The sequence below is a fragment of the Homo sapiens genome, chromosome 8 (assembly GCF_000001405.40).
Source record: "Homo sapiens chromosome 8, GRCh38.p14 Primary Assembly".
Taxonomy (NCBI): Eukaryota; Metazoa; Chordata; class Mammalia; order Primates; family Hominidae; genus Homo; species Homo sapiens.
The window spans coordinates 104146310-104173817 of NC_000008.11; the positions used below are offsets into that span (position 1 = coordinate 104146310).

Sequence of the window (27508 nt, forward strand, 5' to 3'; positions counted from 1 at the left end):
TCGAGGTTACGATGAGCTATGATTGCACCACTGCACCCTAGCCTGGGTGACAGAGCAAAACACCATCTCTAAAAAACAAATGAATAAAAAGAAATAACTCCTTTTGTAAATAATGCTTTATTAAAGTTGTTAGGTTGAAGAGAAGTGCACTTGTTTCAAACAAAGTTCTCATTAAAATATTGTTTATCTGCAAAATGATGTATCAGTTCCAGTTAGTATTTTATTGTAGTGTCTTATTTGATTTTGGTCAAGTTCTTTATGGCCTTGATATTCAAACATAAAAATTCAAATGCAAAAATCACAAGATACAATTTTGTGAGTGTATCTTTGACATCCTTGGTAATTAGTAGATTAGGTGGTTCTTTAGAAGAGTATATGTTTTGAATAAAAATTTCTTTTTCTTTTTTCTGAGACGGGATCTAACTCTGTCATCAAAGCTGGAGTGCAGTGGCACCATCTCGGCTCACTGCAATCTCAACATCTCGGGCTCAGGTGATCCTCCTGTGCCTCCGAAGTAGCTGGGACTACAGGCATGTGCCACCATGCCTGGCTAATTTTTTACTTTTTTGTAAAGATGGGGTCTCACATGTTGCCAGGCTGGTATCAAACTCCTGGGCTTAAGCAGTCGTCATGCCTCAGCCTCCCTAAGTGCTAGTATTACAGACGTGAGCCACTGTGCACACCCAAAAATTGCTATATAACAGAAACACTAGGTTATTCTGAGTATGGAACATAGGTTATATAAAAAGCCTTAGTTTCTGTTAAACTTTGGCTCTTTTAAACGATAACAAGCCTTTTCTTTTTACTTTCTATCAAAATAAAACAAACTTGAAAATTATCATTTCAGGATATTGCAGAAACATATTCTCATCTCTTTTCTCTTCTCTTCTCTTCTTTTCTCTTCTCTCCCCACCCACCTGCGCCTTCTCTCTCTCTCCCTCGCACACACACACACTAACTCTCTTTGTCCTGTTTCTGACTATGTATGCCACATTTTTTTCTTAAAACAAATGTGAGGGATATAATAGTATACTTCACTATATATTTTTTAAATTTCACACTGGGTCTTTTACCGCCTAAATACTTGGAGAAGATATTACATAGGTTAATAAAAGTAATATGTGGTTCTAGCCTTTAACCAGATTTTACTCTAGGATAGAAAACACTTTTTTTTTTCTGGAAGACAAAGATATTGAATTAGACATAAGAGTTCACCTCAATAAGTTAGTTTTCTAATTCTCATCCTTTAAATAATGTTTAAAGATATTTCTGTTTCTTGATTTTTATTCTTTTTTATTACTTTATGTATTAAACATTCATTATCAGAACCAAAGTAAAACTTTCTAATACTGAGTCAAAAATTGATGTGTAAATAAGTATTTTCATTCCTGCAAAACAGACTGCTTCCCTCATAGTCCTCCTAGGTTTATGGGGGCTAGCTGGATAGCCTGCTTCCAGATTCTTCGCTTTCTAATCTACCTCTACCATACCCCAGAAATCGTGGAAAAATCCAAAGTCATTTCTTTAATTACTCCCAGTTGCAGTATTAGTCTTGCAGTAGATTATCAATCAGCTCACATGCCTCAGTGATTCATCGATTGCTTTCTGGCACACTGTCTGGAAAACTGATAATGATTTTTCTTTCTTTCAAAAGAGTGCAAGAAGAAAATCTTTCTTTTCTTTATTTTTGTAATATAGATTTATATCAGTAATGATTAAGTAAAGTGAAATAAAGTTATTTTTTAATTCAAAGCTAATGAAAATAGCAAGCCTTTTTAGAAAATTTAACCATTATTAGATAAACCTTATTATAAGAAAACTTACAGGGCCACTCTTGAAATGGATATTATATTATCAGCCTTTTTTTTTTTTTTTTTTTGGTAAAATTTTCCCACTTGTCTAATTACCTTTTGAAGGCAACAGTAAAATAGAGAAGAATGTTTTTGTAAGCTTCTCCCTTATGTCGTATGGCTACCTTTAGGTGCTGCAGGACAGCATAGTGTCTTAAATGAACCCACTGATTTTTCATGAATTTTTTTCCTGTGATCATGCAAATTTGCACCTTGTCTTTGACAGCAGAAATAAAATCATAAATCTGATTTTGCATATTTGCTCTAAGGTTGGCCCAGAGTAACAAAGCACAATCAAGACCATGGTATTTGAAATTTTTTAACTCCTAAAAATATATTCCATAGATGATATAATTTAATTATACTCCAAATGTTTTATCTAAAATGCATTTTCTGTCTTTTCCTTTTTACTCTTGTCCTCACTTTTAATGATCCATCGGCTGACAGTGTCTTTACATCCAAAATGCAAAGCAGACAAATGGGCATATCAGGGAAGAACATGACAAAAAGCACCAGCATCAGTGGAGACATGTGCTCACTGGAGAAGAATGATGGCAGCCAGTCTGACACTGCAGTGGGCACCTTGGGCACCAGTGGCAAAAAGCGGCGCTCTAGCCTTGGTGCCAAAATGGTAGCTATCGTTGGTCTGTCACGGAAAAGTCGCAGTGCTTCTCAGCTCAGCCAAACGGGTAGGAATTTCAATGTTACTTTTAACTTGATATTTGAGTTGTCATTACAAGATATATTTCTTTTCTCTTACTCATTTTATTGCAGTAATGTGTGGATGATGACATGTTCCAGAGGGAAAGGGCATTTTAAACTAGTTAACCTTTCTGAAATCAACAATGATGTTTTTTCCAGTGATCAATGAGCCTGCTTCCAAGTGAACCTTGGCCAGTGTTCTTAAAATGTAGATAATGTCTTTCCTCCTCAGGGAGGAGTTACGCTGTGACACCCAATTGCCAGCTGCTGATCCTTTGTAAAGATAATCTGAAATGGGGGATATTTGCTTTTCTTTAGGTTCCTCAAGTTGGAACCAGCTAAATTAATTTCCATTCCCAGCAAGATGCTGTGAAGATGACTTCTCATATTTTGTGTGAATAATACAGTTCTTGTTTTGCTGACAACCCAACTTCCTTTTCAGTTTGTAAGCAACATTTACCAGTAGTTATCAATTTTCTCACTGCAATTTTTATTTCCCTGTTAAAACTTCAAACAGCAATATTCTCCAGCAGCAGGGATGGAGGAATTTTCTGCTGACAGTGAAGATATTCAAAGCTTTGCTACTTTAAAATTCAGTTGCTAAATCACATCTGCAAAAATAAATTATATACAACACTCCTACTCAGAAAAGCCACTGTTAGCAATTAAGAAATTTGTGAATCAAAGCAATGTCTTTTTTCAAATGGGTGTAGATAATTAAACATTAAATCCTTGGTATCTTGGAAATAATAGCATATCTTCTACTTGACAAACAAATGCATGTAATATGGTGTTTCTTTTATAGCAAAATAAATTATAGGCAGCTGGATTAAATCTAATTTGTGTTTGACTACTAGGACTCTTGTACATAGAAGTCAGATATAAATCTACAGCACAAAAGAATTTAAGGTTACATTAATTCCTGGACCCGGCTAATCTTGATTTTTGCAAACCGTACTTGTGATTCTGGGAATTTAGTCTTATTTAACAATATTATATTGAAATAATTATTTGGTGGTATTTTTTATATTCTGGTTGTAACTAAAGATATTTAAAGTGATTTTTGTCATAGGATTTTTAATTTGGTGTTGTAAAATACTATTTTGCATTTTAATATATAAATAGAAGTTTAATTTATGGACAGTGGACATACAGATCATATTTTAATGATTTTTAAAATTGTTAGTATTTATACCTAATTAACTATGTTGTGCTAATATGATACATGTTGGCCTTTTGAAATTGAGGTTTTTTTATACTTCTCTAATAGAACTTCATTGCATGTTTTTCTTTAAAACTTACAAACATCTGTCAATCTAAAACTTCTCTAAAAAATAAAGTCTACTAATTTTTTTTAAATTAGGAACCTAAAATGGACGTTAGTAAGACTACAAGTTAGAAAATATATGAAACTAAATAATTAATTCCATTCACTCAGGGTTCTTATTTATAAGTATTGAACGCTTACCGTGTGCCAGACACATGAAGAAAAAAGATGAATAGGAAATCATTTATAACCCAAGTTGCTTACAGTCTAATAGAGGACAGATACTTAAACAGATTGCTTCAAGGTCATACGCCAGTGGTGAATCTAGAGTTACACAGATGGTACACTGGATGCTCAGAGGAAGGCCACTTGACTCAACCTGGAACTCCAGGAATGAATTCCTGGAGATGATGCCTCATCAGAGGTGTCATCTCAGTGACTCAAGTGGCTGCTAACTAGGTAAAAGACGATTAGAAAGGTGTTCTAGATAGAAACCGTAAGAAACAAGGCATAGATCCATGATATGTGCAGGAATGATAAACAGTTACATAATTTTAACATAAAATATTGGACTAAATAGCTAGAGATGAGGCTAGTAGATAAATAGAGACCAGGTCATAGAGCATCTCAGATCATAATTATAGATGATAGGAAGTTTTAAAAGGTTCTCAGTAGAGGATTGATATGGTCATATTTGTATGTACTTTATGTATAGTTTTTAGGCCATTCAGGCTGCCATTTGTTTATGTAACAAATAATTTTTGAGTACCTATCATTTGCCAGGGACTATCCTAAAGAAAACAGAAGACAGAAATCCTTCTTCTCTTGGAGCTTATATTCTAGTGGGGCTACAATAAAGAGGTAAACTTAAGTCCATACCTGGAAAAGAGCATTTAAGGATGAATTAACAGAGAAGTATGATAATTCAGACAAAAGATAAGATCCTGAGCTAAGCCAGCCGTAATAAAGATAGAGAGGGAATGATAGATTCAGGGAATTTTTAAAGAGCAAAATTAGTAGTCATTTACCTGATTAAGTGACTGATTGGATATGAGGAGGTGAAGGAGAGAAAATTCTAAGATGACTCCCATATTTCTGACTTGCATCACTGAGTGGATGGTAGTGCCATTAATGGATATTGGAAGTATAAGAGGAGTGGTTGCGGCATGGTGACTGATGCCTGTAATCCCAGCACTTTGGGAGGCCAAGGCAGGCAGATCACTTGAGGTCAGGAGTTTGAGACCAGCCTGGGCAACATGGCAAAACCCTATCTCTACAAAAAATACAAAAGTTAGCCCCTCATGATGACTTATGCCTGTAGTCCCAGCTACACTGGAGGCTGAGGCATGAGAATTGCTTCAACCCAGGAGACAGAGGTTACAGTGAGCCGAGATTGGCTGCTGCCCTCCAGCCTGGGTGACGGAGCGAGACTCTGTCCTGCACTCCCCCAACTCCAGAAAAAAAAAAAGAGATGTTGGGGAAAGAGGAAGAGGGATGAGTCTTTGATTTATGAAATTTTGAATTTGTGATATATGTGAAAATTTCCAAGTGGAAATGTCTAGAACATTTAAATAAACACTTTTGAAGCTTGTGTCAGAAGCAGGGACATAAATCTGAGAGTTACAAAGTTTAGGTAATACTTAAACTCATGAACGTGGCTGAAATTGCCCAAGAAGAATTATACAGATAAAACAGCAGTAGGCCAAGACAATGCCCTGTGGAAGATTAACATTTTAGAATTGCGCGGAGGAAGAGCCCAAGAAGAAGAAGAAGGAACAATCACAAAGAAAAGACCAAAATTATGAGAGGATAGTATCACAGAAATTAAGAGGGTAGAATATTCAAAAACAGAAGGGTCAGTATTTCTCAATAATCAATTTCATGTCTTTACATGTTTGGCACAACTGTCCCATATATCTTTCTTTGATTGTATTTGTATTACAAAATTATAGCTCTATTGACCATACATTGAGATTCTGTAACAACACTGATTTTCATGTATGAGTAGTTATAGGTTTTTGTCTCAAAAACATTGTGATGTTGGCAGATTTAAGAAATGTAGTCTTGTTTCTTGTTATATCATAAAGTTCCTTCCTATATATTACATAGCAAATGATAAAATCTCTTTGTCACTGTCTTCATTACTATTCAGTGACATTATAATGGGTACATTTTTAATTGTTCTTAAAATTTGCAGTTATTCATACCTACTCCCCTTAATAGATTTGACCTGCTGACAATAGAATTCAGATTATCTCTCATTTTAAAGCCCAAGTTTAACTGTAGCATAGCCAACAGAGATTGTTTTACAATTACTGGATTTCAAACTTCCAATGGGTTTCTCAGTTCTGTATTTGTGTGCATATGTATATGTGTTCAAAATAAGGTTTTAATTATGCTTTATTTTCTTAAGAAAAAAATGGAATCATAAGCTCCAAAAGTATTTGAAACAAATCTTCAAATTTCAGTATTTGAGCATATGATCTAGTAGCTTAGATATTAAATTATCAAAAGTCATTATCTACAATAATGAACTAGTTTTATAATGCTGGATCTTATAATAGCTTCTTTCTTCAGACATAAATATATAAGATGTATTGAGTAACTTGCCTGAAACAAAGAAATTCTTTGTGTGTTTTCAGCTATATGTTTGTATTTTCAAAGACTTGTTTAGTATTCTCTTTATTTTCCTGGTCTCTATGTGAAGATCTATATGTAATTAAGTTAAAGAGTCATCATGTGATGAATGATGTATCATAATGATTTCAATATTTTGAGATGGTATTTACTATTGTAAAAATAAATGTTATTGTACCACCATGGATTTCAAGATCAGACAAGACAACTTACCTCCCTTCTGAAGAGTAGAAACTCAGCAAAACGGGGTCTTCCTAAAGAATAGTGAAATGATTCTGGATGATATCACAGTAATTATATGTAAATAATAATTGGCAAAGGAGAAACCTTTTATAAAGGTATGTTGACCAACACACATAGAGGCTAAGTTATAACTCTCTTCTGTCACACTATTTGTATGTTCCATTGCCTGTTAATTGGAAACTCATCTTTTAAATCACTGTTTCTAAAGAATTGAGTATGACTTGATAGGCATCATAACCTAGTAGAGAGCATATAGAGGGAATAAGGAGACTTGAATTCTATTGCTTACTCTGGGTTATATATTAAATATGGACTCTTTAAAAACTTATCCAGCAGATCTGAGTCATAGTATGTCTATCTGACTGATGGAATTGACACGTGCTATCCTAACAGCATTTCTATAAAGATAATATTTTTAAATGTAAGAAAAGTACATTAAAATCACATGGTAGATATAAGACATCAGTAGCCAATTCAGCCTCATAGGGGAATCAAGAGTTCTGTTTTAGACATGATTTTGATTTTGAGATGTCCATTAGACATCTAAGTACAGTTATTACATGATTAAGTGCATAGATGAATTCAGAGCCCAGTAGATCAAAGCTAAGGATGTAATTTAGGAGTAATCCGCGGGTAGCATTTGAAGCCATAGAACTGGATAAGATTATATATGGTAACTTGAATCAAGAAGAAAACTAAAGACTGAGCCCTAAGACATTCTACCATTTAGAGGTCAGGAAGAAGAAGAAAATTCATCAGAGGCTTAAGAGAAGGCAACCATTAAAGGAAAAACAAAAAAAGGATATCTTAGAAACCAAATGAAGAAAATATTTTAAGAAGCAGGACATGATCAACTGTGTCAGGGACTCTGACAGGTCAAGTAAGATGAAGACTGATAATTTACCATTGAATTTGGCAAGATGGAGAAATTTGGTATACCTTGACAAACCTTGCAGTGGTGGACAAAGCCTGATGGGAGCATGTAAAGAAAACGAAGAGGTGAGTTAGAGTCAGTGAGAATAAAAATATGAACACCTAACACTTTTTAAGCACTTATTATGTGCTAGTCACAGTTCAAAGCATTTACATGTAAATCATTTAAACCTCACAACAAAGTTATGAAGGAGGAATGAGTTATTATCTCCATTCGATAGATGGGGGGAAAAAGTAGGGAGACAGGAAATAAATTCCCCAAATTTACCCAGCTAATGTCATGGGTGGAAGTTGGAATTTGAATCCAGACAATCTGGATCTGGATACTTCACTTTTAATTTTTCTGTTACAGTCTAGAATAGCACTGTTAAATAGAACTTTTGGCAGTGATGGCAATCTCCTACATCTGCCCTGTCCTGTACAATATGGTAGCGCTAGTCACATGTGGCCATTGAACACTTGAAATGTGGCTAGGGTAACTAAGTTAACTGGATTTTTAATTCCTTTACATTTTTAATTAAATTATTTTAAATTCAAATAGGCACATGCGACTAGTGATTACTGGATAGCACAGTTAAAAACAATTCTTTCTGGGATTTTTTAAAACAAATAAGAAATAGAAATTTTAAAATAGGACTATAACTTGAGGGAGAGAGAATCAAAGAAGAGCTTTGTTTTTTAAAAACAGGGACTTACTTGTGGGAACAATTGGGTAGGTGAGATCCAGAACTTAAGTGGAGATCATTGGTTGTAACCTGTGGTCACTCAGGCATCTGCGCTCTTTTCATCTTGTAATAATTTATAAGCTCACACAGTACTTTAAAGTAACTGTTGTTATAACATTTAGCAACTGTAATCATTTACTCATCTATCTCTTGCCTAAACTGTTTTTCTTGTTTAGTTTATCCTTCTCAGTTTCTAGTATTGTATCACATATGGTGATCCTCAATGAAAGGGCCATGAATTCCATGAGGCTACATGATACACTTCCCTGGGGAATGGAAAGAAATAGTAGAGTTTACTTTTTTTTTTAATCTAAAAAACAAAAAAGAAATTAAACTTTACAAATATTTAATATATGGCTTCACCTAGTATTCTCAGTCTAAATGCCAGAAGGTCTCATGCCTTTCTGGGGGTGTTAGTTTTTTTTGTTTTTTGTTGTTTTTGTTTTGTTTTGTTTTTTGAGATGGAGTCTCGCTCTGTCTCCCAGGCTGGGGTGCAGTAGTGCGATCTCACCTCACTGCAAGCTCCTCCTCCCGGGTTCACGCCATTCTCCTGCCTCAGCCTCCCAAGTAGCTGGGACTACAGGCGCCCGCCACCACGCCTGGCTAATTTTTTGTATTTTTAGTAGAGACAGGGTTTCACCGTGTTACCCAGGATGGTCTCGATCTCCTGACCTCGTGATCTGCCCGCCTCGGCCTCCCAAAGTGCTGGGATAACAGGCATGAGCCACCGCGCCCGGCCTTGCTTTTTTTTTTTTTTTTTTTTCTGAGACAGAGTCTTGCTCTGTCGCCCAGGCTGGAGTACAGTGGCGCGATCTCGGCTCACTGCAAGCTCCATCTCCCAGGTTCATGCCATTCTCCTGCCTCAGCCTCCCGAGTAGCTGGGATTACAGGCGCCCACCACCATGCCCGGCTAATTTTTTGTATTTTTAGTGGAGATGGGGTTTCACCGTGTTAGCCAGGGTGGTCTTGATCTCTTGACCTGGTGATCCACCCGCCTCGGCCTCCCAAAGTGCTGGGATTACAGGCATGAGCCACTGCGCCGGCCTTGGGGGTGTTAGTTTCAACTACACTAACAATGAGAAAATAGGAAAGTGGCTTAAAAAGATTCTTGCGATGAAACTGTGGTTTGAAGATGATACCAAGTTTGCAACTTTCACTCCTAGTTAAGCTCTTCATCAGCCCCCAATAAAGACACTATGACACTTTAAGATCTGACAAGAAGTTTACCAAAAAATTCTAAGTTATCAAAAAGATGAATAACATATGGATTTACATCTACTATTATTAACAAGAAACCTTACCCTAGGTTTATACTTTACATGGCCTATGGTGTGTCTTTGTGATGTTTCTTTTTCAACTATGACATAATTAAAACTAACTATGAGAAAACTGAATTTGGAAGCCAACCTTCAAAATACTGTATTTACCTAACATACATTACCTGCTGTAATATATACAAACCCTGAAAACTTAATACAAAAGTTCATTTATTCATCAAATATCAGTCCAATTTAGATATTTCCAGTAGGCAGTGGCCTTTTCTGTAGTCATCCAGGGCTCAAGACTTTTTTCATCTTGTGGGCTTTCCCTCTTAGAAGGCCTTAGAGCCCTCTCTCTTCAGCCACTACCTGGGAAGTTTTTACGGACAGGAATTGGAAATGGTAACATCACTTCTGCTTCTATTCCATTGGCTGCTTAGTCAGAAGGCTCATACTGGAAAATGGGACATTGGGAAATTTATAGCCTTAGAGAGTGCCCAGGAAAAAGAGCAAACAGGTTTGATAAGCAAACCACAATCTAATACTGCCACACAGCATTAAGCCACTGTTTTCAGAAATTATAAGGCACTTTACTTCAAATATGTTTCCTGAGAGCATAAGTCTTATTTTATTATTTAAAATAACTATTTGCAAATATTTATTGAATTTTAATCACCTTTAAAAATATCTGCATATATTTTATGTATTGTTAAAGTGTAGTAGAATATGTGCATCATTTATAAATAAATTTTTACAGAACTAGAAGTGAGATTTTTAGAGATTTATAACTACTGACCTAGTATGTAACAGTGCTAAGTGGATGTTTGCTAAGGAAACAGAGAAACTCAATTGCTGGCCAACTCACTGTAATCCTGGATCCATCCTTCCTAATGCTTATTTTTTTGAACAGCATTCAGACCAGGCATACAGAAAGTGACTTGATGTATGCCCTATTAATACACAAGCGTACATTAAATACAGTAATATCTGTGGAAACAAGTAATAAGAATGAAAGAGATGTTAAGTAATAGTATTATCTTTTCACATCATCACAAATCTCAAACTAACCCTATAGGATATGGCATGTTAATGTAGGATTCTAACAATGTGCCTTTACCACTAAATTTAGGCATATTTCTTGCCTTTAAAATTATAACAGTGTTTTAGCCCTTATAATATTATCCTTCATTATTTAAAAATATTGAATCATGCTACTGTATGTTATTTACTACAAGTGACTCAAGTATTGTAGATGAGGTAAACAAAACATTTTCTGTAAGTGAAAGCTGGTGTTAACATTATCATAAATTGTGTTAAGGTACTTATATAGCATCTAGGCTCGGCATGTAGCTAAGAAAGATAGTTTTATTGTTCTTGGAAACTAATTTAGCATTTCTTAAATTTGAATTGGATTTCATATTTTTCTTCTAAAAAACATATTTTTAAAATACTTTTAATTGTGGTAAAATACACGTGACATAAAGTTTACCTGTTAACCATTTTTAAGTGTACAGTTAAGTGCTTTTAAATATGTTCATTATGTTGTGCAACTATCACCACAATCCATCTCCACAACTCTTTTCAGTTGCAAAACTTAAACTATGTATCCATTAAGCAATAACTCTTCATTCTTCCCTCTTCCCAGCCCTTAGTAACCACCATTTTACTTTGTCTTTGTGAATTTGACTGCTCTAGATATTTCTACTCATCAGAATTTGCTTCTTTTTTAAGGCTGAATAATATTCCATTGTGTGTATGTACATGTATACACCACATTTTGTTTATCCATTCATCTGTCAGTAGGCACTTGGGTTCCTTCACCTTCTGGCTATTGTGAATAATGCTACTATGTATATGGGGGTACAAATATTTCTAACAGGCCCTCCTTTCAATTATTTTGGGGATATACCCAGAAGTGGAATTGCTGGATCATATGATAATTTAATTTTTGTTTTTTGAGGAACTGCCATACTGGTTTTCTAATTATTGTTATTATTATTATTATACTTTAAGTTCTAGGGTACATGTGCACAACGTGCAGGTTTGTTACATAGGTATACATGTGCCATGTTGGTTTGCTGCACCCATCAACTCGTCATTTACGTTAGATATTTCTCCTAACGCTATCCCTCCCCCAATAGGCCCCAGTGTATGATGTTCCCCTCCTTGTATCCATATGTTCTCATTGTTCAACTCCAACTTATGAGTGAGAACATGCAGTATTTGGTTTTCTGTCCTTGTGATATTTTGCTGAGAATGATGGTTTCCAGCTTCATCCATGTCCCTGCGAAGGACATGAACTCGTCCTTTTTTATGGCTGCATAGTATTCTGTGGTGTATATGTGCCACATTTTCTTTATCCAGTCTATTATTGATGGACCTTTGGGTTGGTTCCAAGTCTTTGCTATTGTGAATAGTGCCGCAATAAACATATGTGTGCGTGTGTCTTTATAGTAGCATGATTTATAATCCTTTGGGTATATACCCAGTAATGGGATTGCTGGGTCAAGAGGTATTTCTAATTCTAGATCCTTGAGGAATCGCCACACTGTCTTCCACAATGGTTGAACTAATTTACACTCCTACCAACAGTGTAAAAGCATTCCTATTTTTCCACATCCTCTCCAGCATCTGATATTTCCTGACTTTTTAATGATTGCCATTCTAACTGGAGTGAGATGGTATCTCTTTGTGGTTTTGATTTGCATTTCTCTGATGACCAGTGATGATGAGCATTTTTTCATGTGTCTGTTGGCTGCATAAATGTCTTCTTTTGAGAGGTGTCTGTTCATATCCTTTGCCCACTTTCTGATGGGGTTGTTTTTTTTCTTGTAAATTTGTTTAAGTTCTTTGTAGATTCTGGATATTAACCCTTTTTCAGATGGATAGATTGCAAAAATTTTCTCCCATTCTGTAGGTTGCCTGTTCACTCTGATGATAGTTTCTTTTGTTGTGCAGAAGCTCTTTAGTTTAATTAGATTCCATTTGTCTATTTTGCGTTTTGTTGCCATTGCTTTTAGTGTTTTAGTCATGAAGTCTTTGCCCATGCCTATATCCTGAATGGTATTGCCTAGGTTTTCTTCTAGGGTTTTTATGGTTTTAGGTCTTACATTTAAGTCTCTAATCCATCTTGAGTTAATTTTTGTATAAGGTGTAAGGGAGGGATCCAGTTTCAGCTTTCTACATATGGCTAGCCAGTTTTCCCAGCACCATTTATTAAATAAGGAATCCTTTCCCCATTGCTTGTTTTTGTCAGGTTTGTCAAAGATGAGATGGTTGTAGATGTGTGTTGTTAATTCTGAGGCCTCTATTCTGTTCCATTGGTCTATATATTTGTTTTGGTACCAGTACCATGCTGTTTTGGTTACTGTAGCCTTGTAGTATAGTTTGAAGTCAAGTAGCATTATGCCTCCAGCTTTGTTCTTTTTGCTTAGGATTATCGTGGCTATGCAGGCTCTTTTTTGGTTCCATATGAACTTTAAAGTAGTTTTTTCCAATTCTGTGAAGAAAGTCAGTGGCAGCTTGATGGGGATAGCATTGAACCTATAAATTACCTTGGGCAGGCCATACTGGTTTTCATAGCAGCTGTACAAGTTTATATTCCCACCAGTAGTGCACAAGAGTTCCAATTTCTTCAGATCCTTGCCAATACTTAATTTTTTTTGTGGGGGTGGTTTCTGATAATAGCCATTCTAATGAGTATGAGGGTGGTATCTCATTGTGGTTTGGATTTGCATTTCCCTAATGATTAGTGGTATTGAGCATCTTTTCATATGCTCATAGATCATTTGTTTATCTTCTTTAGAACACTGTTTATTGGAGACCTTTGCCCATTTCTTAATCAGGTTCCAGGGGGTTTTTGTTGAGTTAAAAATAAACTTTTTTAAAATAGAAAACTAGAAGCAGGTTTTTTCAATCTTAAGAGTCATCTGACTGGGCACGGTGGCTCATGCCTGGAATCCCAGCAATTTGGGAGGCCAAGGCGGGCCGATCAACTGAGGTCAGGAGTTCAAGAGCAGTCTAGCCAACATGGTGAAACCCCGTCTCTACTAAAAATACAAAAATTAGGTGGGCATGGTGGCTGGCACCTGTAATCCCAGCTACTTGGGAGGCTGAGGCGGGAGGATTACTTGAACCTGGAAGGCAGAGGTTGCAGTGAGCTGAGATGGTGCCACTGCACTCCAGCTTGGGTGACAGAACAAGACTCCATCTCAAAAAAAAAAAGAGTCATCTGTATATTAATAATAACATATATTATAACTTATTTGCATTTGTCCAAATCCCATCAGACTATAAATTTCTTGAGGGAAGGAGCTATATCTCATTCATTTTTACATCTCTGGTACCTAAGATAATAGTTGATATCCACAAAATACTCAGTATTTGTTAGAATGCATGTATGAATAAATGAGTGAACAAATGAATGAATAACAATTTAATCTCTTTAGAGAAGATAACTTAAAACTGTATTCCCCAAGGTATTAAACTGATATATTGATGTTTTGAAGCTATAAATGATCATATGGATATATGTCAAATGTTTCTTATTTATCATCTCATATTCTAGTGTTTCATTATTGTTTATGGAAATAAGTAGAACTCTTGAAAGCTTTTGTTAAGGAATATTTATATCTACAGCTACAAATGCAAATTATCTTGCGTTATCCCTTTCCAAACATGAAGGTTGCAGTCATAATCAAATTATTAATAATTTGCTAATGTATTCTTATGGTATTTTAATCATTTCCCTAAGTCAGTAATATTATTCATACATTTATTCATTAAATAAACATTTTTATCAACTACACTATTTGTAAGAATCATTTTAATGGATGCCATGAAAGACATAACTTGACAAAACATTGTCCCTACTACCTCATAGCTTCTATATTCTTAGGATCTTAAAATCTACTAGAGGAAATGAGTTGTCAGCTTGAGTAAACATAAAACAAGGTGGAACATCATGAGGATTAGCAAGATTCTGTAAGGGAGTGTGGCAGAATGAAGAAAACATAAATTTTAGAGTTCAAGCAGGCCTGAATTCAGGTCCCAATTCTGCCACCTGGGCAAGTTACTTCTCTCAATCTCCATTTTCTCAGCTGTAAAAATTATGGACTCTATCCTCCTACTCCATGAAGTTGTTATGAGCACTTATACTAAGCGCTTAAAACTTTGTCTAACATATACTAAGTTTCTATTAAATGACAGCTGTTATTAATATTATTGTTAACATAAGTTTAGCTGTTATCATTAATATTATTATTATATTGTCATTAATGTAATAGTGGAAATGATTCCTTCCAGCATTGTTGCCAGGGTACCAATTGATCTGAACCTTGAAGTATGGATAATGTTTAAATTGTGAAGATGCTGAGAATATGGCCTGGACATTTTGGACATGGGAAATATTAGACTCAGAAATATGGAAAGGTATCTTATGTATGAGCAGACAGAGAGTATTTGACACATAGTGATAAATGAGACTAGCAATAGAGATTGGGGCCAGATTACAAATCATGTTGGTTGAAGGAGTTAGAAACCTAGGGTTGGCAATAGGGATCTGTTGTAGAATTTCAAGCAGAGTCATGACAACGTAAATTAGAAACATTTTGTCAATAAGAAAGACTAGAGATCAAGAATAAGGGACAACTTTTTTTAGATTAGAGTAGAAATGATGAGGGCATGATCTATGGTGTATCAGTTTCCTATTGAGGCCGTAACCCATTATCATTAGCTTAGCAACTTAAAACAATGCACATTTACCATGCCATCCTAAGACTAGGTGAGCTCTACTGGCTTCTCTGCTCTGTGTCTCACAAGACCAAAATCAAGGTGTCATCCACGCTCGGATTTTATCTTAAGACTCAAGGCAAGACTCCATTTCCAAGGTCATTCAGTTGTTGGCGGAGCTCAGTGCCTTGTGGTTGTGGACCTCAGGTTCCCATTTTCCTGGACATATGACCTCCTTCATCTTCAAGCTAACAAAGACACATTGAATCTTTCTTGTGCATTTAATCTCTCTGACTATCCATTCTCCCTTATCCCTTCTGCCTTCCAGTCAGAGAAGTTTCCCTGCTTTTAAGGGCTTATGTAATTAGATTGGGCCCACTCAGGTGATCTAGGAAAATCTCCCTATTTTAAGGTTCATTACCTTAATTACATTTGAAAAGGTCCTTTTGCTATGTAATGTGGCATATTCCCAGAGTCCAGGGTGCAGTGCATGGACATCTTTGGGGGACCATTCTGTCTACCAGAAATGATAGTAATAGATGAAAAGGTAAGGAAATTCAAGAAATACTGTAGACATATTTTTGAAGTTATTATATGCATCCTGTATGCTTCCTGGGAGTCAATGCAAATAGAAATAAATGTTAACTTTCATAGCTTACCTTCTTTGACCAAAGAACACCCACAGTTATTAAGATTTAAGCTTTTTTTCTAATATAAAATTTAGAAGAATTTATCAGTCATTAAAAAATGTAATTAGCAATAGCATGAATTTGTTGTTTAATTTTCACAACTTGAGATGTAAATATTATCATTACCATTTTACAGAAATCTAAAATCAGAAAACTAAAATGCAGTTTCATGGTTGACAGATAAAGCTCTAAAGCTGGTATTCTTTATATGACCCCCATTATTGCTAACAGTGTATTTTTATAATTAGCTTTTTTCATATTATTAGGGGGGGAGATCTTTCTTTTCAAAATAAAAATTCCTCAGGAAAGTACTTCTAATTTAATATAAGCTTTATTTAACTGGACATATTTTAAGATGTAAATAGCCAACAGGCATTGTCCAGGTTAGTAATCAGTAAAGTCCTGGTAACTGTAAATAAACCATAAAGAATTTAATTCTGAGCCAAGAAATACATACAAGAAAAAGAAGTCTTTAATTTCATTAAAATTTATAAGTGCCTTAAGGTTTTTGAGCATCAGAGTATAAACAGAAATGCAATTTTAAGGCCATTTTAAATGAAATCCCCATACACTCTGAATTGGTATATGGAGCTGCTGAATGCTATTTACTCAATTGAGTCCTGTCCGTGTTACCTACTAGAAAGACTTCCAAAGACACAGTTGCAGTTATTTGATAGAAACATCATAAAATCCTAGCTAAGCAGTAATGATACTAGGAGCAATGATATCAGGAGTATGGAAAAAGATAAGACTGTTGGCTCATTGTCCCCTTGGGCTTTGAAAACTGTCTGGCATTGCAGACTTTATAGAATGAAAAACACTAAGATGAATCCATCTTCCCTTTGATGCAGCTCTAAGTGGACAAATTCTTCTAATATTATTCTAGGATGAAGTATTTTTTTAACTGACACTCTATTATTCACTGCCATATAAACTTTTAGTATAACAGTATATTATTATTCAGTAAATATTTATTGAACTTCCACTGAGTGACAAACAATATGGTATGTGCCAACTATTGTCCTCCTCATATGGTATCTGTTCCAGTGGGAAAGACAGGCCTTAACAAATAAATAAAGTAATAATTAGTCAACATTACGAAGCTTGCCTTGATGAAAAGTTCCAATGATATACGAGTTTATTGCAGAGGATACTAACCTACTATGGCTCATCTTTCTGTCCACAAAGACAAATGACCTTTTGATTTAAAATCAACCGTGTAGGATCTGAATTTGTATACTGTGCATACAATGAGGAAGAGAGGCAGTAGTTTCTAATGTAACCTAGGATATGCTTGGGACTGATACAGTGGAAAAGTGGAATCTAGTGTATTTCTCTTAGGCATTAAAGTTTGGTGCTGACATAAGAATGTAATTTCTGTAGCTTTTATTCCAAAGATGTAAAAGGGTGGTTTTGGTTTTGATCTTGTAATGTGAGGAATTTATTGCTTTTTACTTGAAATTTCATAATTGCTTAGAAAGTGAGAATAGGATGAGAGCTGGTACAGAAGTATGAGTTGAGATGGGGAAATGTTCTGATGAGGAAACTGATGGTGAGGCAACATGTAATACAGAAGTATAAGAAAGAATAGGAAGAATACCACAGAGACCCTCCAGGAAAGGCACTGTGCTCATTAACTGAGGTATTGAGGAATTTTACTTCACCACCTTTCAGCCAAATCCTCCTTTCCAAAGGAAATATCGTAGCCCAAAGGTAGGGGAACAGCGGCCACCCACCTTTATCAAATCCTTTCCAGTCCCATTGACATTTGAAGTATCTCAATTTCTTGTCTCTTTTTGTCTTCCTCTTCCTACTGCCAGCAGTCATTTTATCCTGGAATTATCTTTCCTGTGTGAAAGGAAAGATAAATGACCAAAGTTTTCTGACTTGCCATCAGTCAGAATTCCTCTTCATTTAACCTGTCAGTTGTGAAATTATCTTACTGGAAGCACTAGTTTGATAAAGTTCTGCTTCAACACATTAAAATAGATTTCTGTTTTACAAAAAAACACAGATTATTTAAGAAATCTGCATTCATTTGATTTATTTCATTTGGAAAGTTTTTTCCAAAAAAATAAGGACAAAAATGTTTTTTACACAAGTGAAAATACTTGTGTTTTAAAAATAAAAATCATAAATTTAGTTAATGAACAATGAAAGATATGCCATTTCAACTATTCACAATAGCAAACACATGAAATCAACCCAAATGTCCACCAATGATAGACTGGATAAAGAAAATGTGGTACATATATACCATGGAATATTATGCAGCCACAAAAAAGAATGAGATTATGTTCTTTTCAGGGATGTGGATGGAGCTGGAGGCCACTATCCTTAGCAAACTAATGCAGGAACAGAAAACCAAATACCACATGTTCTTACTTATAAGTGGAAGGTAAATGATGAGGACTCATGGACACATAGAGGGGAACAACACACACTGGGGTGTGTCAGAGGGCAGAGGTTGGGAGGTGGGAGAGAAGCAGGAAATGTAACTAATGGGTACTAGGCTTAATACCTGGGTGATGAAATAATCTGTACAACCAACCCCCATGACACATGTTTACCTATGTAACAAACCTGCAAATCCTGTATATGTACCCCTGAACTTAAAATACAAGTTAAAAAAAAGAGATGGCATTTCATATAACTAAATACATATGACTATATGTTTGAAAGTTCACTTCTTATTTTTAACCGAAATGGTAAACTGGAGTTTATTTCCTTTCTCAAGGAAGGATAATATTCTTTTCTTCCAAATTTTACAGTACAGTGCACAATTTTAAAGCAATACAGGATCCTCTTTAAACTGTGTTCTAGAATTAATCCCACTAACTGTCGAATCTTTTTGTTTTATGTTTGATTGTGATGAACACCAAGTGGTGTGCATTATTTGTATATTTGAGTACACTTTCATATATTTATGAATTAGCCTTCTTATTCTGAGTTATCCAATCTCAATCACAATAAAATTCCCTCACAGGTTTACATACTGGATTATTCCTCTTTTTAATCATTTTAAGTACATTTATTATTCCTTAGACCTACTTCTTAGATGTGTATTTATTTTGCATTTATCTTAATGTGTAGAAACTTAGCGGGAAAAATTGTAAAATGTCATATAAATATACTTTTTTCTGTTTTTTTTTAATGGAATATTCGTGTGTGTCAGTGAAACCTTATGCTGTCTCTGTACCTCATTTTGAATAAGAGAACTATGTAAATTCATTTAGTTTTAATCTGCTGTATCTTTTTGGTCCTTTATGATTGTTCCATCAGTCTTTATCTGTCCTTGCTATCAACTGCTTTTTTTTTTCTTAAAATAGTCCACTTTAAGTTTTATCCTGTTTTTCAGTGAAACATTTAAATATACTAAGGTTAGTTTAGATTCCATTTTTATCAAATATTGCTTAAAATTTTAAATAGAATATCAGACTAGCACTAAGCACTTAGATTTTTTAAAAGTATACAAATTTCTAAATATCCATTCAATTATGATTAACTGTGTTTCTAATAAAGAAAAATGGTGTCGTGCAGGCACTATGGAAAATTTAAAAATTACACAAATTACATAAAAGTTAAACAAATCATAGACCTACTCTCAGAAAGCTTAAATTCTATTAGGGAAGAGATGTTAGATAGCCTATCAGTGCACAAAATGCTATAAGATTTCAGAAAGATCACTTCTCACTGGAGTGGTATTTTGGATTTCTTTTTTTTTTTTTTTTTTTTTTTTTGAGACAGAGTCTCGCTCTGTCGCCCAGGCTGGAGTGCAGTGGCGTGATCTCGGCTCACTGCAAGCTCCGCCTCCCGGGTTCACGCCATTCTCCTGCCTCAGCCTCCCGAGTAGCTGGGACTACAGGCGCCCGCCACCACGCCCGGCTAATTTTTTGTATTTTTAGTAGAGGCGGGGTTTCACTGTGTTAGCCAGGATGGTCTCGATCTCCTGACCTCATGATCCGCCCGCCTCTGCCTCCCAAAGTGCTGGGATTACAGGCTTGAGCCACCGGGCCCGGCCTGGATGACTTCTTGAAGGTTTGTAATTTGAGCCAGACTTCAAAGAATAAGTCATATTTCAATGAAATGAGATAGGAATGCATGTCAAGCATAGGGAGCTTCAGAAGTGTAGAGTAAGTTCAGAAAAAACATTTAGTATGCAGCAGAGAAAGATAAATGATCTAATTTGACTAAAGTATTCATTTCCAAACTTTTTATTTAAGCAAATGGAACCCATTTAACTTTTCGAAGCACAGGACAATACAATCTCTAAGGGTGTCCTTAGAGCATACTCAAGGAACTAAAACTATATTCAAGACCTCAAGCATAGAGTATAAGAGATAGAGTTATAAATATAAGGTAGAGTTACACAGTTTTATATTTATAACTGTATAAATATTTATATTTATATATAAATATACTCTATAAATATATCCCAACCTTCCCTTCTGAATCCCCAAAGTCCATTATATCATTCTTATGCCTTTGCATCCTCATAGCTTAGCTCCCACTTAAAAGTGAGAACATACAATATTTGGTTTTTCATTCTTGAGTTACTTCACTTAGAATGATGGCCTCCAGCTCCGTTGAAGTTACTGCACAAGACATTATTTCATTCCGTTTTATGGCTGAGCAGTATTCCATGGTGTGTATATGCCACATTTATCTACTCATTGGTTGATGGGCACTTAGATTTGTTCCATATCTTTGCCATTGCAAATTGTGCTGATATAAACACCTGTGCATGTATCTTTTTCATATAATGACTTATTTTCCTTTGGGTGGATACCCAGTAGTGGGATTGCTGGATCAAATGGTAATTCTGCTTTTAGTTCTTTAAGTAATCTCCATACTGTTTTCCATAGTGATTGTAGTAATTTACATTCCCACCAGCAGTGTAAACAGAGTTTCTGTTTCTTCCTGATTTAAACTAGGAGGGTTGCATATTTCCAGGAATTTACCCATCTCCTCCAGCCACATCCATGCCAACATATATTGTTTATTGACTTTTTAATTATGGCCACTCTTGCAGGAGTAAGTGGGTATCTCATTGTGGTTTTAATTTGCATTTTCCTGACAATTAGTGATGTTGAGCATTTTTTCATATGTTTGCTGGCTATTTGTATATCCTTTTTTGATAATTGTCTATGTTTTCTGACCACTTTTTGCTTGGATTATTTGTTTTTTTCTTGCTGATTTGTTTGAGCTCTGTGTAGAGTCTGGATATTAGTCCTTTGTCAGATGCAAAATTCGCGAATATTTTCTCCCATTCTGTGGGTTGTCTATTTACCCTGCTGATTATTTCTTTTGCTATACAGAAGCTTTTTAGTTTAACTGGGTCCCACCTATTTATCTCTGTTTTTGTTGCATTTGCTTTTGGAGTTTTAGTCATGAATTCTTTGCTTAAGCCAATGTCTGGAAGAGTTTTTCCAGTGTTGTGTTCTAGAGTTTTTATGGTTTCAGATCTTAGATTTAAGTCTTTGATCTTGCATTGAGTTTTATATAAGGTGAGAGGACCCAGTTTTATTCTTCTGTATGTGGCTTGCCAGTTTTTCCAGCACCATTTATTGAATAGGGTGTTCTTTTCCCAATTTATGTTTTTGTTTGTTTTGTTGAAGATTAGTTGGCTATAAGTATTTGGCTTTATTCCTGGGTTCTCTATTCTATTCCATTGGTTTAGGTGCCTATTTTTATGCCAGTAACATGTTGTTTTGGTAACTATAGCCTTGTAGTATAATTTGAAGTTGTGTAATGTGATGCCTCCAGATTTGTTCTTTTTTCTTAGTATTGCTTTGGCTATGCAGTCTCTTTTTTGGTTCCATATAAATTTTAGGATTTTTTTCTAGCTCTGTGAAGAATGATGATGTTATTTTGATGAGAATTGCATTAAATCTGTAGATTGCTTTGGGCAGTATGGTCATTTTCACAATATTAATTCTACCCATTCATGAGCATGGGTTGTGTTTCCATTTGTTTGTGTCATCTGTGATTTTTCAGGAGCGTTTTGTAGTTTTCCTTGTAGAGATCTTTCACTTCCTTGGTTAAGTATATTCCTAAGTATTTTATTTTCTTTTTGCAGCTCTTGTAAAAGGGATTGGGTTGTTCATTTGATTTTCAGCTTGGTTGTCATTGGTGTGTAGCAGTGTTACTAATTTGAGTACCTTGATTTTGTATCCTGAGACTTTCTTGAATTTGTTTATCAGATCTAGGAGCTTTTTGGATGAGTCTTTAGGGTTTTCAGGGTATACGATCATATCAGCGACAGTTTGACTTCCTCTTTTCCAATTCAAATGCCCTTTATTTCTTTCATCTGCTCTCGCTAGCACTTCCAGTACTATGTTGAATAGAAGTGGTGAAAGTGGGCATCCTTGTCTTGTTCCAGTTCTCAAGGGGAATGCTTTCAACTTTTCCACGTTCAGTATGATGTTGGCTGTGGGTTTGTCATAGATGGCTTTTATTATTTTGAGGTATGTCACTTTTATGCCAACTGTGTTGAGGGTTTTTATCATAAAGGGATGTTGGATTTTATCAAATGCTTTTTCTGCATCTATTGAGATGATCGTATAATTTTTGTTTTTAATTATTTTTATGTGATGTGTCACATTTATTGACTTGTGTATGTTAAACCATCCCTGCATCCCCGTTATGAAACCCACTCGATCGTAGTGTATTATCTTTTTGATATGCTGTTGGATTTGGTCAGCTAGTATTTTGTTGATGATTTTTGCATTTATTAAATATGTTCATTATGGATATTGGTCTGTAGTTTTCTTTTTTTTGTTAAGTCCTTTCCTGGTTTTGGTGTTAGGGTGATACTAGCTTCATAGAATGACTTAGGGAGGACTTCCTCTTTCTCTGTCTTTTGGAATAGTTTCAGCAGGATTGGTACCAATTTGTCTTTGAATGTCTGATAGAATTCAGCTGTGACTCCATCAGTCCTGGACTTTTTTTGTTGTTGGCTATATATATATATATATATATATATATATATATATAAAACAGATTCAATCTCATTACTTGTTATTAGTCTGTTTAGAGTTTCTGTCTCTTCCTATTTAAACTAGGAGGGTTGCATATTTCCAGGAATTTACCCATCTCCTCCAGATTTTCTAGTTTGTGTGTGGAAAGGTGTTCATAGTAGCCTTCAGTAATCTTTAGTATTTCTGTGGTATCGGCTGTAATATCTCCAGTTTCATTTCTAATTGAGCTTATTTGGATCTTTTCTCTTCTTTTCTTGGTTATTCTCGCTAATGGTCTATCAATTTTATCTTTTCAAAGAACCAGCTTTTTGTTTTATTTATCTTTTGTATTTTTTTGTTTCAGTTTCACTTAGGTCTGCTCTGATGTTTGTTATTTATTTTCTTCTACTGGGTTTGGGTTTAGTTTGTTCTTGTTTCTCTAGTTCCTTGAGGTGTGACATTAGGTTGTCTATTTGTGCTCTTTCAGACTTTTTGAAGTAAGCATTTAACACAATGAACTTTCCTCTTATCACTGCTTTTGCCAGAGGTTTTGATAAGTTGTGTCATTATTATCATTAATTTCAAGGAATTTTTTAATTTCCATCTTAATTGTTAACCCAAAAATGATTCAAGAGCAGATTATTTAATTTCCATGTATTTGTATAGTTTTGAGTGTTCCTTTTGGAGTTGATTTCCAGTTTTATTCCACTCTCATCTGAGAAGATACTTGATATGATTTCAATTTTCATAAATGTATTGAGACTTGTTTTGTGGCCTATCATGTTGTCTATCTTGGAGAATGTTCCATGTACTGATGAGAAGAATGTATATTCTCCAATTGTTGGGAAACATTTTCTGTAAATATCTGTTAAGTTCGTTTGTTCTATGGTTTAGTTTAAGTCCATTTTTTTGTTGTTGTTGACTTTCCGTCTTGAGGATCTGTCTAGTGCTGTCACTGGAGAATTGGAGTGACCGCCTATTATTGTGTTGCTATCTATCTCATTTCCTAGGTCTGGGAGTAATTGTTTGATAAATTTGGGATCTCCAGCATTAGGTGCATATAAATTTAGGATTATAATATCTTCCTGTTGAACTAATCCATTTATCATTATATAACATGGTTCTTGTCTTTTTTTACTATAAGTATGATTTGTCTGATGTAAGAATAGCTACACCTGCTCACTTTTGGTTTCCATTCTTGTGAAACATCTTTTTCCACCTCTTTACCTTAAGTTTATGAGAGTGCTTATGTGTTAGGTGAGTTTCTTAAAGATAGCAAGTATTTGGTTGGTGGTTTTTTATCCATTCTACCATTCTGTATCTTTTAAGTAGAGCCTTTAGGCCAGTTACATTCAACATTAATACTGAGATATGATGTACTATTCTATTCATCATATTAGCTGTTACCTAGATACTTTTTTTTCAATGTGTTATTGTTTTATAGGTCCTGTGAGATTTATGATTTAAGGAAGTTCTCTTTTGGTGTATGCTGAGGTTTTGTTTCAATGTTTAGAACTCCTCTTAGCATTTCTTGTCGTGCTAGTTTGACAGCAGCAAATCCCCTCAAGATTTGTCTGAAAAAGACTTTATCGCTCCTTCATTAATGAAGCTTAGTTTTGCTGGATAGAAAATTTTTGGCTGACAGTTATTTTGTTTAAGGAGGCCAAAGATAGGACCCCAATCCCTTCTGCCTTGTAAATTTTCTGCTGAGAAGTCTGCTGTTAGTCTGATAGGTTTTCCTTTATAGGTTACCTGATGCTTTTAAAATTATTTCCTTCATCTTAACTTTAGGTAGCCTGATGACTATGTGCCTTGGTGGTGATCTTTTGCAATGAATTTTCCCAGAAGTTCTTGGAGCTTTTTGTATTTAGATGTCCAGATCTCTAGCAAGGCCAAGGAAGTTTTCCTCAACTATTACCTGAAATAAATTTTCCAAACTTTTAGACTTCATTTCTCCCTCAGGAATACTAATTATTCTTAGGCTTAGCTGTTTTACATAATCCCATTTTTTTTTGGAGACTTTGTTCATATTTCTATTCTTTTTTCTTTGTCTTTGTCTGATTGGATTAATTCAAAAGCCTTGTCTTTGAGCTCTGGAATTCTTTTTTCTACTTGTTCTATTGCTGAAACTTTCCACTGCATTTTGTATTTCCCTAAGTGTGTCTTTTATATCCAGAAGTTCTGATTGATTTTTTTTGTTATATATATATATCTCTCTCTGGAAAATTTTTCATTTGTATCCTGGATTTTTAAAAAATTTCTTTAATTTTGTTTTCACATTTCTGTTATCTCTTTGAGTAGCTTAATCATCAACCTTCTGAATTTTTTATCTGGCATTTCAGAGATTTCATTTTGGTTTGGATCCATTACAGGGGAGCGAGTATGATCTTTTGGTGGTGTTATAAAACCCTGTTTTCTCATATTACCAGAATCACTTTTATGGTTCCCATTCATTTGGGTAAACTATTTCTTGAAATTGTTCTTGAATTTATTTTCTACTGGACTGTGTTTTTTAAATTTCTTTTGTTCCCCTCTTAAGGATAAGACTTTAATGTTTATTGTTTATTATAGCCTAATTTGATTCTCGGATATTTTATGTGATGCCTCTGGATGAGTTCCTTAGTTATAGAGTCTTTGTGTGTTGGCTTTCCCAAATGCTGCTTGTAGTAGTTTGGTACTTGTTGTGTGGGCAAGTTCACTGTCTCCCATGGGGTTGGAATGGCAGGAATCTCTTGAAGCTTATCTCATTTTCTCATGGTATATACTTTATGTACTTAATTTTTCTTCAATGTTTTATTTACTGAGTTGATGATTCAGGCTTCAGGCCAATAGGGGAGATATCCCTTAGGTAGGCAATCATTGTAGCTAAAGCATGTGGGTAGATGTAATACCCAATGGTAGACAGAGGTCCCAGCCTTGATGAAGGTAGCTGGAGGAGCTCTCAGTTAGGGCATCATCTAATTTAATTCTTAATAAATGTTAGCTTTTAAGATGTGAAGAAGTCTGGATCATCAGGACTTAAAGAGGAAATACATGGTAGAAATGGGAGGTACCAACTGTAAAGAAACAAAAAAAAAGCTCTAGTTTTGGGGCTGGCAAAGTATGGGCTACAAGCCAAACTTAACCTGCTACTTTTATGTTTGGTTGGGATTTTTGCTTGATAAATAATTTTTATTTGATAAATAAAGTTTGTCAGAACACGGCCAAGTTCATTTGTTAATGTATATTGTCTGTGTTTACTTTTGTGCTCCAGTGGCTGAGATGAGTAGTATCTGAGCATCTGTGGATCAGGGAAACCACATGATCCACAAAGCCTAAAATATTTGCCATATGGCCCTTAACAGAAAAAGTTTGCCTGTCTATTCTAGTTGATGCTTTTGGATATTCAAACATTTATACCTCAAAATGAGAGAAATCATTTTGTGTTGGAGCATAAATGGAAGAGAATATTGAAGATGTAGAAGAGGATATGACTAAGTGTGGAAATAGATTCCCAAACATCTTCTTGGATAATTTTAAAATCTCAAAATATAAGAAAGAACTTTAAATGTCACTTAGTCCAGCCAGTATTCCACCTCATACTTAATTTTCAGTTCTTTCCAAACTCCAAAAGGAGTTCTGTACTCTAGCTACGTGAATTACATGAAGATTGCCCAGTCAAGAAGTTTGGCTCCATTGTTGTGAAAGAGTGGCGTTTTCCACTAAAATAGCCTTGAAATGTTACCAGTGTCCATACATTTGCTATCTAGCACATTTTTTGTAGTCTCTGCATAAAATTACAATTTTCCTGCTTACTACATCTGCTTTTGGTGCATTTAACAATGCCTCCTCTCATTTTTGGTCTTTTATTTTTTGATCAATGTAAGTGTTTAAGACTATGAAACAAGTGTAACAAATTTAATACTCATACGTTAAAGAAAAATTGTTTAAAATGAGTATTCATTTTCATTTTTCTACTTAATTCAGAATGCTATTGGAAGACTCTTGTTTCATACCTGTTACCTAGAATTAATCTTTCTGGGTTTTGGCATTCTTCAAGAAAAATGACACGAGTAGGCAGTTAGGATGTGCTGCTTCCTGATCTGTGCAGTTTGGGAAGTTCTGCCCTTTGTGGATAATTATAGGATAACAATGACTCTATTATTTATTTTAATGAACACCAGATTATTTTATTGAAGTAATCTTTAATTTTTTTACTATGGTTTTGATCATGAGAGTTTCCATAATGTTATGAAACATTTTTTATAGAACAAAGAAAAAAGTTATAAGCTATTGCTTTCTTAAAATATTTACTACCTTAGCTCTTCTGATTTTTTTTTTTTTTTTTTTTTTTTTTTTTTTTTGAGATGGAGTCTCGCTCTGTCGCCCAGGCTGGAGTGCAGTGGTGCGATCCTGGCTCACTGCAAGCTCCACCTCCCGGGTTCACGCCATTCTCCTGCTTCAGCCTCCCGAGTAGCTGGGACTACAGGCACCCGCCACCATGCCTGGCTAATTTTTTGTATTTTTAGTAGAGA

General features: G+C 35.0%; 1 protein-coding gene across 65 annotated transcripts in view; it reads left to right on the forward strand.

The window, feature by feature from the left end:
* The window catches only part of RIMS2 (regulating synaptic membrane exocytosis 2), a 755485-nt gene that overhangs the window by 645700 nt on the left and 82277 nt on the right, over nucleotides 1-27508 (forward strand). For 40 of the 65 annotated variants that reach the window (XM_017014015.3, XM_017014010.3, XM_017014016.3 and 37 more), the window contains one exon: nucleotides 2298-2539. The exons of the other annotated variants lie outside the window; for them this stretch is intronic. In XM_017014015.3, the coding sequence (XP_016869504.1) occupies nucleotides 2298-2539 (242 nt within the window). The remainder of the gene's footprint in view (nucleotides 1-2297; nucleotides 2540-27508) is intronic. 65 annotated transcript variants of the gene reach the window in all.